The sequence below is a fragment of the Homo sapiens genome, chromosome 16 (genome assembly GCF_000001405.40).
Source record: "Homo sapiens chromosome 16, GRCh38.p14 Primary Assembly".
Lineage (NCBI taxonomy): Eukaryota > Metazoa > Chordata > Mammalia > Primates > Hominidae > Homo > Homo sapiens.
The window spans coordinates 9,765,918-9,784,140 of record NC_000016.10 but is presented as its reverse complement, the minus strand read 5'-3'; the positions used below and the strand labels follow the sequence as shown (position 1 = coordinate 9,784,140).

Genomic DNA, 18,223 nt, shown 5'->3' with positions numbered 1-18,223 from the left:
TCTTTTTAAAAAACTTTTGTTGGAAGTTCATGGGTACATGTACGGGTTTGCTATATAGGTAAACTTGTGTCATGGGGGTTTGTTGTACAGATTATTTCATCACCCAGGTATTAAGCCCAGTACCCATTATTTGTTTTTCCTGATCCTCTCCCTCCTCCTATCCTCCACCCTCCATTAGGCCCCAGTGTGTGTTGCTCCCTTCTATATGTCTATGTGTTCTCATCCTTTAGCTCTCCCTTGAAAGTGAGAACATGGGGTATTTGGTTTTCTGTTCCTTTGTTAGTTTACTGAGAATAATGGTCTTCAGCTCCATCCATAAGGTTTAAGAATCACTCTTTAAAGTAACAATATTTACCATTTAGAAACATTTTATCCTGTGATTGGCAGACGTTGAGTACACATATCAGTTGCCATCCAATCACTCAGTTGGGGTCCATGATATTGAATCTTTGCCCTGAGTTTTATTCATTCTCTTTCTCTCAGGGCTTCTAATTGGGTTTACACAGAGCCCTTGGTGATTGTGAAAACTAGAGGCATAAATGGTTTGGCACTTCTAAGCGTTAGTCCACATGCCAACCACAATAAAGAACATAGGAGATATGAGGGTAGGCTATGAATGGAAGACGTAGTCAGATAAGCTTTAATGTTAAGCTTCCTCATCCAGGAAGGATCGAAATAGACATGAAAGCCTTTATTGCTTCCAAAGATTTCATTTTCATTTATTGACTATAATAACAGTGTTAAAAATAAAGCAGGCAAAACTGAAAACCCCACATTTGGGTAAAGACTGAGCCAGCACTTCTATCGATTAAATCGGATCTGGAACTAGATTTGGACGCAATGGCTATCCTGATTCCTTATACGTGTAGACGGGGTCTCATGTGAAACCACGGGGAAAGTGCAGCTAAAGACCGTTGATTGAGTCTAATTTTTTATGTGGATTTCATTATTGCTCCCACGTATGTGGGTGACTTTTGCATGTACATAAACCTCATGTATACACAAAGATAATACACTGATGATATAGACATCAGAAGGGGGTGATCATTAATAACCATTCTGATGCCCCAACAACTAAGTCACTTACTCTCCTATGACCCAAAAACTGTCTAGGGCAAACCATTTATTCAGAAATGCAACGTTTTCAAATAAGAGATATGTCAGTTCTAAGCATAGATTAGCAATAAAGGACTTAACTGCTTCTCCATTGGCCTGTGACCAGATGATACCATAAAAATTAGACTTGTTTATTTCCCTCCTAATTTTAACTAGAGACATATTTGGAATAATAATGGAACAGTACTTATTAAGAAACAGATAATATCCATAAATATCCTGGAGAGCCACTGAGTCTTCCTCAGTGGTAAAACTCCAGGGGATTTAATCTGCGTAAATTTGCAGTGAATTCCCTAATGGGCCTGTTGAGATTCAGAATCTTAGTGTCTGTTATCAATCCAACACCAGGATTAGTACAAGGTCAGCATGCCAGGCCCATGCCTGACAAGCAGTGAATTGCTCAAACCAGAGAAAGTCAAATGTCAAGAGAACCATCAAAGTGGAAATAAGATATAATGAATGGCTTGTTGGTAAGTCAAACATTGATGTCACATAGGCTCGTGCAAAATTTATGGCATGGATAAACAGTGGCCCCAAATCCCTCTCAGTCTATATTTTTTAAACACTTTAATTTGGAAAGGCAATATATTATATATACAGTTGTCCCTCAGTATTGTGGAGGATTGGTTTGAGGGTCTCCTACAGACACCAAAATCTGTGGATGCTCAAGTTCCTGATATAAAATGGTGTAGCATTTGAATATAATCTATGCACATCTTATACTTTAAATCATCTCTAGTTTACTTATAATACCTAATGCAATATAAATGCGATCTAAATAGTTGTTACACCGTATGGTTTAGGAAACAATGACAAGAAAAAAAAGTCTGTATATGTTTAGTGCAGACACCATTTTCTCCCCAAAATATTTTCAATCTGTGATCATTTGAATTCACAAATACAGAAAGGGCTGACTGTACATATAATCACCCCAATCTACTACTTTAACATAATTGTTTTTAATTTATGTATTATCTCCTGATCCCTGTTACTTGCAGACACATTTCTTTAATTATAATTATTGGTTATATATACTTTTATAGTCCATGATTTTTCACTTATTATTACATTTTAAGCATTCTTATGTAACTATACTATCTGCTTTCACAATTATTTTAATTTTTTGCATAAAATGTCATCATCTTTATTAAACCAGAAACCATTACATTATTTTCCAAATGCTACACATTTTGATATTTGGCTAGTATAGATAACGATGGAAGAAATTTCTTCATGCCTATTTCTTTTTTCTTTTGAACTATTTGCAACAAACTCTTAGATGTAGAATTTAAAGGTTACTGGTTCTAAAGATCTCTAGGAGTCTTGATATATGGCGTCATATTGATGCCCAAAAGGTTTGTTAACCCTGGGTGCAGTGACTCATACCTGTAATCCCAGCACTTTAGGAGGCCAAGGTGGGGGGATTGCTTGAGCCCAGGAGTTCAAGACTAGCCTGGGCAACATGGTGAGACCCCATCTCTACAAAAAATAAAGACATTATCTAGGCATAGTGGCATGCACCTGTGGTCCTAGCTACTTTGGAAGCTGAGGTGGGAGGATCACTTGAGCCTGGGAGGTTGAGGCTGCAGAGAGCAGTGTTCCTTCCACTGCACTCCAGCATGGGTGACAGAACAAGACCCTGTCTCAAAGAAAAAAAAGTTTTGTTTCCATCTAAAGTAATAGTAATAGTGGATCAATGTACCAATTTTACCACTATCTAGCAGCATTAGGCATTACAGTTCTTTTTGCTATTTTAGAAGGTGCAACATGCTATCTCTTTTATATAAATATAAAAAGTTATTTCATGTTTCATGTTTTGATTGGTTAAATCAGAATTCTGCAAATTATGGCCCATTACATGTTTTTTATAAAGTTTTACTGGAACACAACCACACTCATTCCTGTATTACGCATTGTCTATGGCTGTTTTTGTGCTACAAAGGCAGAGTTGAGTAGTTGTGATAGAGACCGTATGGCCTGTAGTGCTGAAAATATTTACTAATTGGCCGTTTACCATAAAAAAAAAAAAAGATTAGTGACCTCTGGCTTAAACAATAAAAGTGACATGTTATTTTGAAACAATTCCAACAATTGGAAGAATTTAACTAAACATGACTGGTTTCCCCTTATCCTTAAAGAAATTTTCTCTTTTTGTAAAGAAATATCACGCTTAAAAAAGTTTGTATTTTTCTCTCCTCTGGTTTAGAAAGTCTGTTTTCTTCAACTTTCCTTATTATTACCTCACTTAACCCCCAAAGTAAAAGAACACTTATACCTGTACTATGCCACTCACTGTTTTTTTCTATTTGTTACCTTCTATAAACTATGACATACATTCGTTATATTGCACAAATCCCAATATCCAGTTAATTTTTGTACAGCTGTGCAACTCCCACCCAGATTGAGCTATAAAATGTGACCACTATCCTAGAAAGCTTCCTCATGGCCCATGCCAGTCAATATGCCCCCCACAAGTAATCAACATTCTGTCCTCCATGACCATGGGGTGGTTTTGTCTTCTTTTGATCCTCAAATAAATGGTGGAATCATACAACATGTATTCATTGATGTCTCTTGTGACATTGATACATATTACTGCATGTAACCACAGCTCATTATTTTTTTTCGTTGCTGGGTGGTATTTTATCGTACAAATTTATCCATTTTGCTGCTGATGGGCATTTACATCACTTTTAGTTTTTGTCTGCTTTGGATATTTTTGTACCTTTCTTGTGCACAAAGGCACTTATTGGTTTGGAAATATACCTAGGAATGAAATTGCTGGGTAATAGAGCGCGTCTACTCAACTTTAGTAGATACTTTGAACCAGTGTTCTGAAAATGTAAACCAATTTACATTCCTGCCAGCAGTGCAGGTAGTTTCTCCAATTTGCAAGTGCTCCTTTTCGACTTTCTGTAAGAGGTAAAGCTGGCTTGTGCAACAGAACTCTAGGTGTCTTCATCAGTGGCTGTGTGGTTGGCTGTTGCCACCAGTCATTTAGAGATCCAGATTCTTGCCCCAACATCAACATTGCCTTATTTTGTGACCTTGGTTCATGTAACCTGACCTCAGATTTAATGTCAGTACAATGGGGGCAGAGGACTGTGGAGTCTGCCCCACTTACTTTCCTGAGTTAGAATTGATATCTAGCTTCTCTGCCACCCGCATGTGCTCTTCCACTCATCCCTGGCCACTGTCTCACCCCATCTGGTGCCTTAGACTTGGGAAAAGGGAGAGGAGGTCAGAGGAGCACCTCCATACCTGGGGAGCGGGAGGATGTCATCAAAGGAAGAGCTGAGAGCTCTCCTAAGTCATAACCCAGCCCTGCACACCACCCTATTACCCTCTATGGAAAGAAAAACAGGGTCTTCCTTCTGCTTTAGTTACGGATGGTTCTGACAGCTGATATAGGGTCCCTTCTGTAATAGTTTTATTTCTCACTTTCTGTCCTTCTCCATTCCCCTTTTTCTTCCTCCTCCTTCTCTTCCCTGTCCTCTTTTCTTTCCTTTCCACTCTCTCCTTCTCTCTTCATTCCACAACTAAGTCTCCGATGCCCATTAAGCTCCTTGTGTATACTAAGCAATGGGGAATACAGATCAAATGGAAGTGATCCATTTCGCTTCTGGATTTTACAGCTTCAAGGAACTTGTTGACAACACTTCGATAAAAAAGAAACTGAAAAGCAGTGAGATAATTTTACTTGCTGAAAAGAGGAGCTATTTCTTGGCATGTAGAACTGAGCAACACAGCATAGGTTACCTTGGAGTTACAAGAGAAGCATCACACCCAAATGGCTGAAGCCCCTGGCCAGAGATAAGAACTCAGAGGCATCTCCCCAACCTGGGAGACCAGGCTCCATGCTTTCCCACTGCTTCCTTTAAATGGATCATTCAGGCATTTGCCTGCAAACTTAAAGTGACCCGCACGCTATTCCCTTTTATGTACCACTAGTTGGCCACATTCTCTCTTTCTCGGGCTGACTCTTCATTCTTGCCTTGTGTGATGCAGGAGCAGAAAACTGTCCTCTTGATTCATTGCACCCTCCCTGCCCAGGATGTGTAAGTAATAAATCTTTGAGCTTATTTTCTATATGGTGGTGTATTGAATTTGCACCTTTCATCTGAAGACCTAGGAACTACCGCAGACTGGGTTTTCCCTCGGGGAGACTACAAGGTTGGGCTTCCAGTGCCAGAGCGATGATCAGGCAGACATAAACTGGACATGGGTCAGACAAGAGCTGCAAGGGCATCAGCAGTTATAAATAAGTTCCTCCTGGGAGAGATCCCCTGGTCATGGATAGGAAAACTAGGCATGAGGTTGTCTACTAGGTAAAAGAAGCATCCTGTGAAAGGCACGTGTAAACACCCAGATTTACTTCCCCTCGTTGGTCATTAGGGCAGGGTTGTTAGCTGCTGTAGTACTGGAAACCCAGTTTAGCCAGTGGCTCTCAAAACAGCACGGGATCTGAAGTTATTGCTATCCTTTTTTTTCTTAAATCTGTATGTGTTTAAAACACAAGAACTCCTTTGTGATATTAAAAAGTCCTCATAACCTTCCCATGATAAGTCATCAGATTTTGAGGACTATTGATTGAGAAAATATGCAATGGCAAAAAGTCACTATGAATTCATTTGTGCTCACAAATGCATGTGCCTTTTAAGCCATGTCAGCTTGACCGTCTTTATTTGTGTGAGGCAGATTGGTTAAGCAGATTCCAGAAGTGCTTGGTATATAATAAGGTTTCCTGGATTCCTACAAGGTTTCTGCCGTCTTACTTCAAAGAATTGTATCTCTCCAACTTCATCCAGTAATGGAAAATTATGACCATGTGTATTGTTTGATGTTTGATAGAGTTGTCCAATCTTTTATTGTCCAATCCTCTTTTTAATTTTTCTTCTGAAAGAGACACTGGTTGGGAAGCTGCACAAGTTGTAGTTGGGTTTTTTGTTGTTGTTGTTTTTGAGACAGTTTCACTCTTGTTGCCCAGGCTGGAGTGCAATGGCGCGATCTCAGCTCCCTGCAACCTCCACCTCCCAGGTTCAAGTGATTCTACTGCCTCAGCCTCCTGAGTAGCTGGGATTACAGGCGCCCACGACCACGCCCAGCTAATTTTTTGTATTTTTAGTAGAGATAGGGTTTCACCATGTTGGCCAGGCCGGTCTCAAACTCCTGACCCCAGGTGATCTGCGTGCCTCGGCCTCCCAGAGTGCTGGGATTACAGGCGTGAGCCACTGCACCCGGCCAGAGTTGGGAGATTTTATGGTTGGGAACCTGTGTGCATAAAATCCCCCAACTCCATCCAACTTGTGCGACTAATCACGTGGCCTGTGAAATCCTGCAATGTGACAAGTAGCAATGAACTTAACAATACTCAAGTTTCATCCATGGAGCAGAAATCTCAGTTGGAAGGTGGCGGTGAAACATTTATGCCAAAGACAGCCTGTCCCTGCCTCTAACTGGATACATTTAAGCCTAGCCCTATTTTTATTTTGGTTTTGTGACTTCTCAGCATTATACAGAAATGGAATATTCTGACATTTAAATAAGGAATATTTATCTCCCAAATTCAATCTATTTGTGTCCAGAATCTTGTACTATTTCCTATCACCACCACCATCAAAAGTATTTTTTCACTTCGGCAAATAGTTCAGTGACCCTCTGAGATCGTGAGAACAGAGGTCACAGGCTCCAGAATATTATTTCTGAACCCAGGGTTACTTGGGTCTTATTTTTCTCTAGCTCATTTTTTTTTCTTATTTGTCAGATTTATTGGGCCTTTGTTTTGTCCTTTTGAGAGTTTTTAAATTTGTCTTTAAAACAACATGGGTGTTGGGTCACCACAGGGAAGAGAGAAAGGAATGAGTTTCTCACTGCTGCATCTGGGAGGGTGGACTTGCCTCACATGGCTTTGAGTCAAGATGGTGGAATTAATGAAGTTGGGCCCTCAAGGTCAAAGCTCAGATGGTCTAGCTGATCTTACTCTGCTCCAAGGCCACAGACCACATCCCCAAATCTGATACACAACTTCCTTTCATCTACAGGACAACTGGGCAAGGAGAGGATTTGGCCCCAATTCTGTGTCCCCCAGGCCATCCTCAATTGCAGGACCACAACTCAGAACTCAGAATGACCAAGTCTGTTGTCATCGAGAACATGAGCCTGCCAATGAATCTGTGCCCTAGATTTCCCATAAAAAAGTTGTTCCTTTGCCATTTCCAATTCCAATCGGGCTTCTGAGAAACCCAAAGTACCCAACCCCTGGGCAAGACATGAAACAGGATTGAAATGGGGTCAGTTACCCTCTCGGTGTTCACAGCGAACCCGAATGAGATCAGCAGCAACAACCTTCTGACGTCTTTCAGCTATAGATGGAAGTCTGTTCCCTGTAGGAAACCACCAGGCTCTATTGCTGGGATCTTTGATGAGAACATACTCGCCCAAGAGCCAGCCTTGATTTCTGGGTTTCAGAATCTATTCCTCACCCCTTTGCCTGGGGCTTCTCAAACTTCTTCCTGTCTTGGGCTCTGACCGATCCTCAGATCTGTGGATCACAAACTAATCAAGGAGACAGGAGCCTTGTGTTATCCACAGTTGGTGCAATGTCATGAACCACATGTACCAAGACCTGTGCCACAGACTGGGGGTACAAGGAGAATAAAACAAGATCCCTGCCCTGAATAAACTCACCTCCCAGTGACAATTACGTTCCACTGTGACAAATTCTATACAAAAAAAAAAAAAAAAAATCCAGGATGTTATGGTAGAGGAAACCATGGCGTCATATTTACATTCCTGTGCCTTCAGGGAAGACTTCCTGAAGGTGGATACCTCTGAGCTATACACCAAAGATAGCTATTGCCAAGTTTTCAGCACAAATACCATGCAGCTGGTATATCCAGAGTAGACTGTAATGGGTTATGATATTGGTGACAGTTTACAATGAATCCTTGCCAGCAGTTTCTTGTAAGTGCGTTTCTCCCAGTCACTGCATAACCTCGGAACAGGAAAGCTTAAGCTGCGTCTTCTGTCTGACTCTGAAATCAGGACAGGACTCTAATAGTGACTGTGTCACCAGGATAGAGTTGACTGGTGACCTTCCTCCACATGGTAGCACCATTGTACACATTTGCAATTTGAATGAGACATTGCACACTCACTCATCACAGCTTACCTCCTATTGTATGTGAGGAGACACTGGATTTCCAATCAGGGGGCCATGACTGGAGAAACATGAGCAACAACTGAAGAACCTTGGGTCCACTAAGAAAATAGTTGGGTGTTCACTACAGATGTACATCTGACGGCCTTGCTGTTCCCTGGGTACCCCAGACTTGTTAGAATGAAAATCAAGTTCTTAGCATTCTGGCTTCTACTCTTCGGGCTCCTCCTTTGATCCCTTCTTCCTTCCCAGAAATCCTGAACTGCTCTCTGATCTCAACACTCCTTGTTTCTTCCTGCCTCCAGCCCTATGCAAATCCAATCATCTCATTTTGCCGTAACTACTGGTTTTCATGACTGTCTCTCTCACAGGAATGAGCTCTTAGAGGCCAAAGACTATCTGTAATTCATCTCTATATGAAAATACAGAGATGTTTGCCACATGTTAAGTGCTTTACAAATTTTCTCTTTTCAATGAGTGAATGAATGAGTAAAGAAAAAAAACAAATGAAGTCCTCGGAAAACCAAAAAGCAACAGCTTCCTTGACCAGACATGAAATAGAACATCGAACTCAGCTTCTCAGAACCACATACTCTCTCTTTTCATCTTTCATCACTGCCTTGGGTCAGGTGCTTTGGCAAGAAACCAAGAAAAAAAAAATATGTAGACGTGTGCCTGTGGAAGCTGATTTTAGAAGATATGTTTCAGCAAATTTTGGACAAAGCCTAAAGGGTACAGGTTCAAAATGGATTTTTCACAAATGACCTCAGGGGAGAGGTACTTGGGAAGTTTGAAGGCTAGTCACATTGCTTGCTATAAAATCCATTCCCAAAAACTGCAGTTCCTCTGGAAGTGCTGAGAATGAGTCTTAGGGCAAATAGAGAACTAATTTCTCTTACTTTGGATATAAGAGAGTCTCCATGGAGAGCTGAACCTTCTCCCTGGACTTGCGTTCTTGGAATCATAGATAGAGTGAGTTAGAAGGGCACAGAGAGCATTATGTGGTCCATCCCACCCCCCAGCTTCCCTGATTTCAGGCAATAATAATATCTCCAGAAATACTGATTTTGTAATTAGTGTATGCCAGGCACTGTGTGTATGCAACATCGTTTAATTCTAACAAAACTCCTATGAGATAAATTCTGATGTACTCCCATTTGCTCGATATTAAAACTGAAGCTTAGAGTGATTAAGCAAACTCCTTAACCTCTCTGCACCTGCGTGCCCTCATCTGTAAACTAGACAAGCCATATTAAGTTTACATGAGTTAATTTTTTTAAACTCTAGTATAGTACCTGAAGGACAGTCTATTTTATGTAATTTTGTTAAATAGAAAAATAAATACATGAATGGATGAGTAGTTGGATAGATTAAAGTAGAGTACCTGGACCATGATCAAAGAGCCGGTACCTGTGGAAGCCAAGAGTCTAATGCAGGCCGTCTGACTCAGATATTGAGTGTATTAATACCTGAGTGTATTAATACCTCTGTGTTACTATCTAGACCTTACCAGATGACTGGATGTGCTCCCCAAAATCTTAAGGGAAGGGTGCTTCCTTTTATATCTCATTCTAGTGTTTTCTACCTGAAACATTCTTTCTTGTAATTTGCTGGACAGTATCTAGTTGAATTTTCTTTCATTCCTTTTTGCAAATATAAAACCCCTGGCTTCCACCTTGTCAGTGGGTGGATGGGTAATGGGAGAAACTCCTCCACTGTCTGCATCCTGTCTGTGCCTTTTGTCTAACCAGCCTTCTTACAGCCTGACCCAAGCAGCCAGTGGAATGGAATGGAAGCAAGTTGGAGACACACACACACAACACTGCCTCAATTATCCTTGCCTGTTCCCTTTTAAATGGAATGGAAGCAAGTTGGAGACACACACACACAACACTGCCTCAATTACCCTTGCCTGTTCCCTTTTAGATTCTGCATCTCTCTGACGGTTGACTCCTGAAACTCTATTACTCTGTCTTTTAATGTTGTCAGCATTAGGAAAAGAGTGACCTTGACACCTTGCTCCTTCTACTGAACTTACAGCTTTCCTCACGATGGTGCAGAACTAAGTGGTTAGTAGAGATACTTGTGGCTGGAAACATCTCCCCTGAAAACAGATATAGGAAGAACAGGTGCAAGTTCCCATGGGCGCAAAGAAGTTCTGCAAATGTGCATGAGCTTACTGTCACTGGAGGAGGTGGAAACACAAAAGGAGAGGGCTTTGAGTGCTACATGGGGACCAGTCCTCTCCGGTGGGGAGACAAAGGCAGTGTGGTTTGACTGCAACCCCAAAACTTCCCAGGCTCCATCTGTTCCCAAGAGAGCATTTAGCTTGTGTGTTCCCAGCAAGAATGAGTCTGCTTCAGGAAAGAGATTTAATTGCCCCATTTATCAGCTCTGGTTCACAAGATCACACTGACAAAGATCACGGCCTCTTTTTAATAGGAGAAACTGGCAGCAGAATAAATATCATAGAGCCACTCCTTGGAAAAACGACATTTGATGCTTCACCCTACCTAAAGGATGCACATTTCCCAGCCTTTTACTCTCAAGCCCGCTGCAAGTTCCCCTTTGCTTTGTATTCCTTCTATTTATATGGCAGAATAACTCACTAAACAGATTTGAACACTTCTGCAATGCTGCCCAGTTTAAGCCTGGGGATGTAAGAAAAGAAACAGAAACAGAAAATATGGATTCAATGCTCACTACGTGCTGCAGGCCACGAAAAATATCAAAACCATAAAACATGGTCCCTGATCTCCCTCCAGGAGATTACAATATACTTGAGTAAATTAAAAATGAAATAAGAAAGTATTTGAACTACAGTTCAGTACGCTAGTCAAAGAGGGCCACGAGGCAGGAAATGATTAATTTGAAAATGATTGGAACAGGCTGTAATTGGTAATGAGAAATGTGCATTTGCTCTTTTTTTTTTTTTTTTTTTTTGAAATTGAAGTCTGCTTTACCATGTTGATTTCCTCTAAAAAGAGGTATTGTTTGGGCAAAGGGCAGAAGGAAATCTTTTTATTTACATCCTGAAAAGAATCGAGATGATGTTTCTTATATCAGACTGCCCTCCTTACAGGCTTACAAACCTGGCTTGGTTTGAGGCAACACCGAAAGGAAGATGTTCTGGGAATCTGATGAGTCATAGTGAGAAGACCCATTTTTGTGTCCTCCCAGACTCCAAAGGGTCTGAGCACGGTGGCTCACGCCTGTAATCCTAGCACTTTGGGAGGCTGAGCCAGGTGGGTTGCTTGAGCCCAGGAGTTTGAGATCATCAGCCTGGGCAAGATGGTGAAACCTCGTCTCTACTAAAAATACAAAAAATTAGCACAGCATGGTGGCATGTGCCTGTCGTCCCAACTACTTCGGAGGCTGAGGTGGGAGGATCACCTGAGCCCAGGAAGTTGCTACTGTAGTGAGTTATGATCGCACCACTGCACTCCAGCCTGGGCGACTGTAGTGAGACCCCATCTCAACAAAACAAAACAAAATACCTCCAAAGGGAGGGGGGACGTCAACAGCACATTGTATTTCCAAAGGGATGGCATTGGTGTTTTTGTGAGAAGAGGAAGCAGCCGTGCAGGTCTGAGGTACATGGTGGGCAGAGAAATCTGGATGAGTTTGAGATAGTGTTGGTGGACAGTGAGATATTATTTCAAAGTCTCCCATGACTTTGTGACTGTGCGAAAGCATGGGAGGCTGTTGGAAGAAAAGGAATTGAATCAAGATACCCTCTTCTCATCCCTTTACCTACACAACCGATTGATCAGCACCCATTTTTGTGGGTGAGGAACTGGAAAGGGATGGATTTCCTATTTTTTTAAAAAAAAACTCATTAACATGTATGCTTTTTTTTCTGGTTAATACATTTGAGAACTTTAATGAGTCACTTAGTCTGTAAAAAGAAAACTAGGAAAATCTCTGTCCATCAAAGTGAAGAAAATGCAAGGAGGTTTACCATCTGTTTGAAGCTGTCAGTAAGAAATTAAAGCCCAAATGAGCATGTGAGTTCAAATGTATGCTACTTAAATGGTGTAGTAATCAAAGTAAAAATTTTTCCATACAAAAACTCATACATTGAAAATTCCTGGAACCATGGCAGAAGCAAACCCAGAAACTCTCTATAGGGATGTTTCTGTAGCCTAGTGTTCTTGGGAGTCCCATGGGGCTTAGAGGGAAAATAATTCTGCAGAAGATTAGCTCATGGTCAAAAGTTACAGACGTCACAAGGAAGTAACCCACCATGAGAGTCAGAACACACAGCAAACAGAGGAATGAGAATCCCAAGAACTAAGGTGGGGGTGGGGGGGAGTAATCTGAAAGACTAGAGGTTTAAAATTATTAAATATATGAAAGTTTTAAAAACTTTTAAACTTTATATAACAAACTATATAACAAAAGGATGGGATATTATGATAAAAAGAACAGGCAGAACTGTAAAAGAACCAAATGAATATCACAATTAAAATAAATAAAATTAAAACATAAAGCTAAATATTACCAACAAAAGAATAAATTAACGGGAAAATACATCTATTGGAAATTACCCAAATGCAGCACAGAGAGAAAAAAGAATGCAAATATTAAAACAAGGTAAATAACCTAGAGGAGAGAATGAAAAGTTCCACAGTATTTTAAAGTTTTCAGGAAAAAAAAAAAAAAAGATGGGACTATTATATACCATTAGGGAATTGCAAATTGAAATAATGAGCTAGCACTACATCCCTATGAGAGTGGCTAAAACCCCAAACACTAACACTAACACTGACAATGAAAAGGGTGGTGAGGACTTGGAGCAACAGGAGCTCTCTCATTCATTGTTGATGGGAGTGCAAAATAGTACAGCCACTTTGGAAGAAAGTTTGGCAGTTTCCTACAAAGCTGAAACACAGACTTACTGTATAATCTAGCAATAATGCTCCTAGGTATTTACCCAAATGAACTGTAAAAACTGTACCACACTAATGCAAGATGTTAACAGGGAAAACCGAAGGGAGCGGGGAGAGGTAGTATATGGGAACTCTCTGTACTTTCTGTTCAGTTTTTCTGTAACTATAAAACCACTCTAAAAAAATAAAATCTATTAACTTTTTAAAAAAGATATGATAGGGAGAAGTAATATTCAAAGCCATAGCAGGTGAATTTTTGCCAGAACTAAAGTTCTAAGTATTCAGATTGAAGAATCGTACTAAGTCCAGAGCCGAACCAATAAAACAAACCCACATCTAGACTTCACACCAAAGACAAAGTGAAATTCTCAAAAGCAACTAGAGAGAAAATATAGATTGCATAGAAAGTAACGACAATTAGATGATTAGCCAACTTTTCAACAACTGCCATCCAGATCAGAGGAAAATTTAACATCTCCAAAAGGTCAAGGAAAAATAATTGTCAACTTTGATTTTTATATTCAGCCATATCATTCAAGAGTGAGAACAAACCAAAAACAATACATGCTAATTTCACATAACTTAAAAAAAGACCAATATTAAATCATTTTGATTGACTTCTTCAAAGAGAATTGATATAAACATTTGGAGTATTTCGTTAATTTTTCTCTGCATGTCCCCATTACATCTTAGAGATCATGTATATACATATAAAATATAGTCATACTTTTCATTTAGCATACACATCTTGATTTTTACTGTCCTTGAAAGATCATTTTTAAAGGCTGAATCATAGTCTAAGTGCCATAGTTTAGTGAATTGCTAGACAGTATAATTGCTAGACATATAGATCAGAGAATTTTCTCCTAAATGGCAACAGGATAAAATGCACATAAAAGAGGGACAGAATAATTCTAAGCATGCCTACTCTTTTCTTCCCCCCATTGGAAAAAACCACCTGGTTCTTTAATTGCCTACTGAAGTTGGGGGGTGGGTATAGTTTAGTTTGCAAGGGGCCATTCAGAGCCAGCTGGATGTCTCTTTTCAATTAAAGTTTTGTGCCCTAAGTATGCTGCTCATGTGTGACTTTTCTAAGTAATCCTGAATGTTCTAAAGAGAGAGAGAAAAAGAAACACACATATTTGAGGATTGCCACAGGCCAGGCACTGTGTTAGGCATTTTCTTCACAACAGTAAATAGTAGCAAACATACTGCTTATGAAAACTTACTATGATCTGGGTCCTTTAGGGATTTTATACATTCTCATCTCATTCAATCCTCATGGCGACTCTAGGAAGTATGTTCTATTATTATGCCTATTTCACAGACAGGATAACTGTAGCTCCGAGGCCATGCAGCTAGCAGATGATCAAGTCAGAATTGCAATGAAGTCTTTCTATTGTCACGTTCTGCCCTTTTATTCCCATGTCTTGTTCCAAGCTTGGGTGGGTATTGGGGGCAGGGGTAAGGGAAAGCAAGGTCAGAAAAACATAATAATGACCAAAAAAAAAAAAAAAAAAAAGACAAAACTCCAAAAAACAAAACCAGGAACTGTGCTAAGTTATATATATTATATATGTATATAATATATAATATATATACATATTAATAGAGAATAAGTTTGCTATACTCTCTCTCTATATATATATTATATTCTCTATTTTTATATATAAATTTTGTCCTCACTGCAACAATATTAGGTAGGCTATGTAATCATTATTATCTTCACTCAAGAAGTGAGCAAATGGAAACCCAGCAAACTCAGAAACTTGTCTTAAGGTTACATAGCTGTGAGTTGCACATCGTCTGTTCCAAACCCAGAAGCGTCTGCCCCAAAGTGCATGTTCTGGTCCTCACTGCCTGTGAATGTTGTGATCTGTCCAGGTGAGATGGAGGAGCTGGAGACCCTGTGGCTCACTGGGATCTGCCACAACGAGAAGAACGAGGTGATGAGCAGCCAGCTGGACATTGACAACATGGCGGGCGTATTCTACATGCTGGCTGCCGCCATGGCCCTTAGCCTCATCACCTTCATCTGGGAGCACCTCTTCTACTGGAAGCTGCGCTTCTGTTTCACGGGCGTGTGCTCCGACCGGCCTGGGTTGCTCTTCTCCATCAGCAGGGTCAGTACACCGGGTGGCTACTTTCTTGCACTGCAAGCAGGTTTAGAAAAGCGCTTGGGTTCTTGATGTCTCAGTGGGGTCTGCACTTCCTCCCCTTACCAGCCTTTCTTGGGCATGTCACAAGAGCATCCAGATTTTGTGCATTCATAAGCCAGGTGTTGCAAACTTAGATGACTAAGGAAGGCAGAAAGGAAACGGGAGTGGGTGCAGCAGGCGGGACATGAGAAAAATAGCACAGATGACGTGAAACGGCAGCTAAACCTCAGTATCAAAGTGAGAGAACGATAGGGAATACTGAGGACTGTGGCCAATTGCATGATGTTTACCTCACCAGTAGCGTGGCAGCCATCCTCAACTCCTGCTGAGTATTGTCTTATGGGAATGTAGAGTCAATATTATCAGGTCTTCTAGTTTTTTAAAAAGAGAAAATGTCATCTGATTTTGTTAGAAACCTTTCCATTTTTAAATATTAGTAACTAATTCCATGTAAAAATTTTTTGGCCGGGCACGGTGGCTCATGCCTATAATCCCAGCACTTTGGGAGGCCCAGGCGGGCGGATCACGAGGTCAGGAGATCGAGACCATCCTGGCTAACACGGTGAGACCCCCCCCTTCTCTACTAAAAACACAAAAAATTAGCCGGGCGCCTGTAGTCCCAGCTACCCCGGAGGCTGAGGCAGGAGAATGGCGTGAACCCGGGAAGCGGAGCTTGCAGTGAGCCAAGATAGCGCCACTGAACTCCAGCTCCAGCCTGGGTGAAAGAGCGAGACTCCGTCTCACAAAAAAATAAAAACAAAAAATAAAAAAAAATTTAAAAACACTGGGCCAGACAGAGCCAGCCTGTGGCTCCCATCACTAGCACCCAGGTATGCTGTATAACACTACTAATGCTGCTATGCAAGATGTTACAATTTGTGTATGCATTGTAACAGAACATGCCCAACAAAACAAAATCTACTTGCAATGCTATGGAATATGTATACACATCTAATAAAACACAAAGAGCATGTGGAATGCAATAGCACATGAAAGGAAACACAGGTGTAAAGTAACAGAAGAAAATGCACACGTATCAAGCAGAAAACAAAGTTTACCTTCAACTCAACATAAACAACAGCACAAAATACATATGTATCTACCTTCTTATCTATATGTCCATTCATTCGTTTCAGCCATCTATGCATCCATCTATTTATCCACTCATCTCTCTTATTTGCCCACCTTGTTTTTTTGTTTGTTTTTTTGTTTTGTTTGTGTTTTTTTTTGTTTTTGTTTGTTTTTTTGCCTTGGAAGAACTTCATTAATTAGGATTTGAAAAATGGTGAAAACTCTTTGGTTAAAAACATCTAATTGCAGCAAACCAACACAGCACATGTATACATATGTAACAAACCTGCACGTTGTGCACATGTACCCTAGAACTTAAAGTATAATAATAAAAATAAATAAATAAAAATCTAATTTTATATGCTATTGTTTACTGAGAAAGCTAACTAATTGCTTTAAAACAGATTTGTATATTCTTAACATTTGCTAGTTTCAAGAACTGTGGAGATTCGGAAGGTACACATTAGTTTAGTGAGGAAGATTTATTTTCTCCATTCACTTGCACTCCAAACTCGGGTTCTGTGCAAATACATATTTCCTAATTAGCTTGATGGCATCTAAACACATAGATTGCTTAAAAATAACAACGTACGTGCATAGAGCTAGGTATTATGCCAACTTTAAGCTAATTCTCCCAGCCAATTACCAAAGGCTTTTCATATCCAAATGATTCTGGGATTAGCACCAAACAAATGCACACTGTTGCGTTTACTTCTAAATCTTGCTTGTTTTTGGAAGAGCATTTCCTCTATCTATCTAAAACACTGCTAAGGAAGCCAAGTTGATTTATCAACATTTTAAGAAATGAAGTAAATCCATATCTTCCTTTCCAAAGGATGGGAATGGAAGGCAAACTGGGCAGCACAGGGCAGGCATTGTTGGTGGAGTCCCTTGATCATCTAGAATTTGAACTTTGGCCTCTCCATCCCTAGGGGAGAAGGACCCCAAGTTTTATGGGAGCAATGTGCTTTTATTGATTGATTGATTGATTTGATTTGATTTATTTACTTATTTATTTTTTTGAGATGGAGTCTCCCTCTGTTGCCCAGGCTGGAGCGCAGTGGCTCATTTGTAAGATTTCCACATCCACAGTCTGGATGCTCCAGCAGCTCTGGAAGCAGTGATGGCAGGGGCAGATGTTATTTTGTGGCAGGACAAACAGCCAACCACACATTATATATAGAAGGAGACCACAGATAAGTTTGCAGGAATGCAGGAAAGGATGTAATGCCAGTGCCCTGAGCCTCAGGGGGCCTTCACCAACCATGAAGCCTGGGGTGGAGAGGATCAGAGAAAGAGCAGCTCAAACTTGCAACTGTAGGCTTTTGTGTTTACGGTTCCTTGAAGGCTGGAGTGGAGAGACTGTCTACTACAAGAAAAATGTAGCAGTGAAAATGAGTTGAGGCTGTCACAGTTCCGTGAGCATCCCTGCAGGGTGAGCTTGTCCCCACCATGGGGGACCGATGGAGCCACCATTATCAGAGTCCACAGTTAATCACACTTACTTTCCTGTAGTTTATGCCAAAGTCAGCAGCCACTGCCAATTCTGCCCTACAAACCCCTTCATAGTTTGGCTCCCTGTCAGCCTTGGGAAGACCAGGTCAAATCCTGCAGCCTTGATCTGACTGTTTCCTGTAGGTACGGCTGCTGAAATCTGGGGTAGGAGTGGGGAGAAGCAGGGGAAGCCACAGATCAAAATGTTCCAGACGTCCTTTTGCCTGTTATTGTGGTAGGAATCAAGGGCTCTTCCCTTGATAACAGTTGAACAGCTACTTTTAAGTGAACGTAAACAGTTGTTTTCTAAAAGAAAGAAAGAGTAGAAAATG

General features: G+C 40.6%; 1 protein-coding gene across 7 annotated transcripts in view; it reads left to right on the top strand.

Moving 5' to 3' along the window:
* The window catches only part of GRIN2A (glutamate ionotropic receptor NMDA type subunit 2A), a 429,505-nt gene that overhangs the window by 398,768 nt on the left and 12,514 nt on the right, over positions 1-18,223 (top strand). For all 7 annotated transcript variants that reach the window (NM_001134408.2, XM_047433994.1, XM_017023173.2 and 4 more), the window contains one exon: positions 15,052-15,290. In NM_001134408.2, coding sequence (NP_001127880.1) covers positions 15,052-15,290 — 239 coding nt within the window. The remainder of the gene's footprint in view (positions 1-15,051; positions 15,291-18,223) is intronic.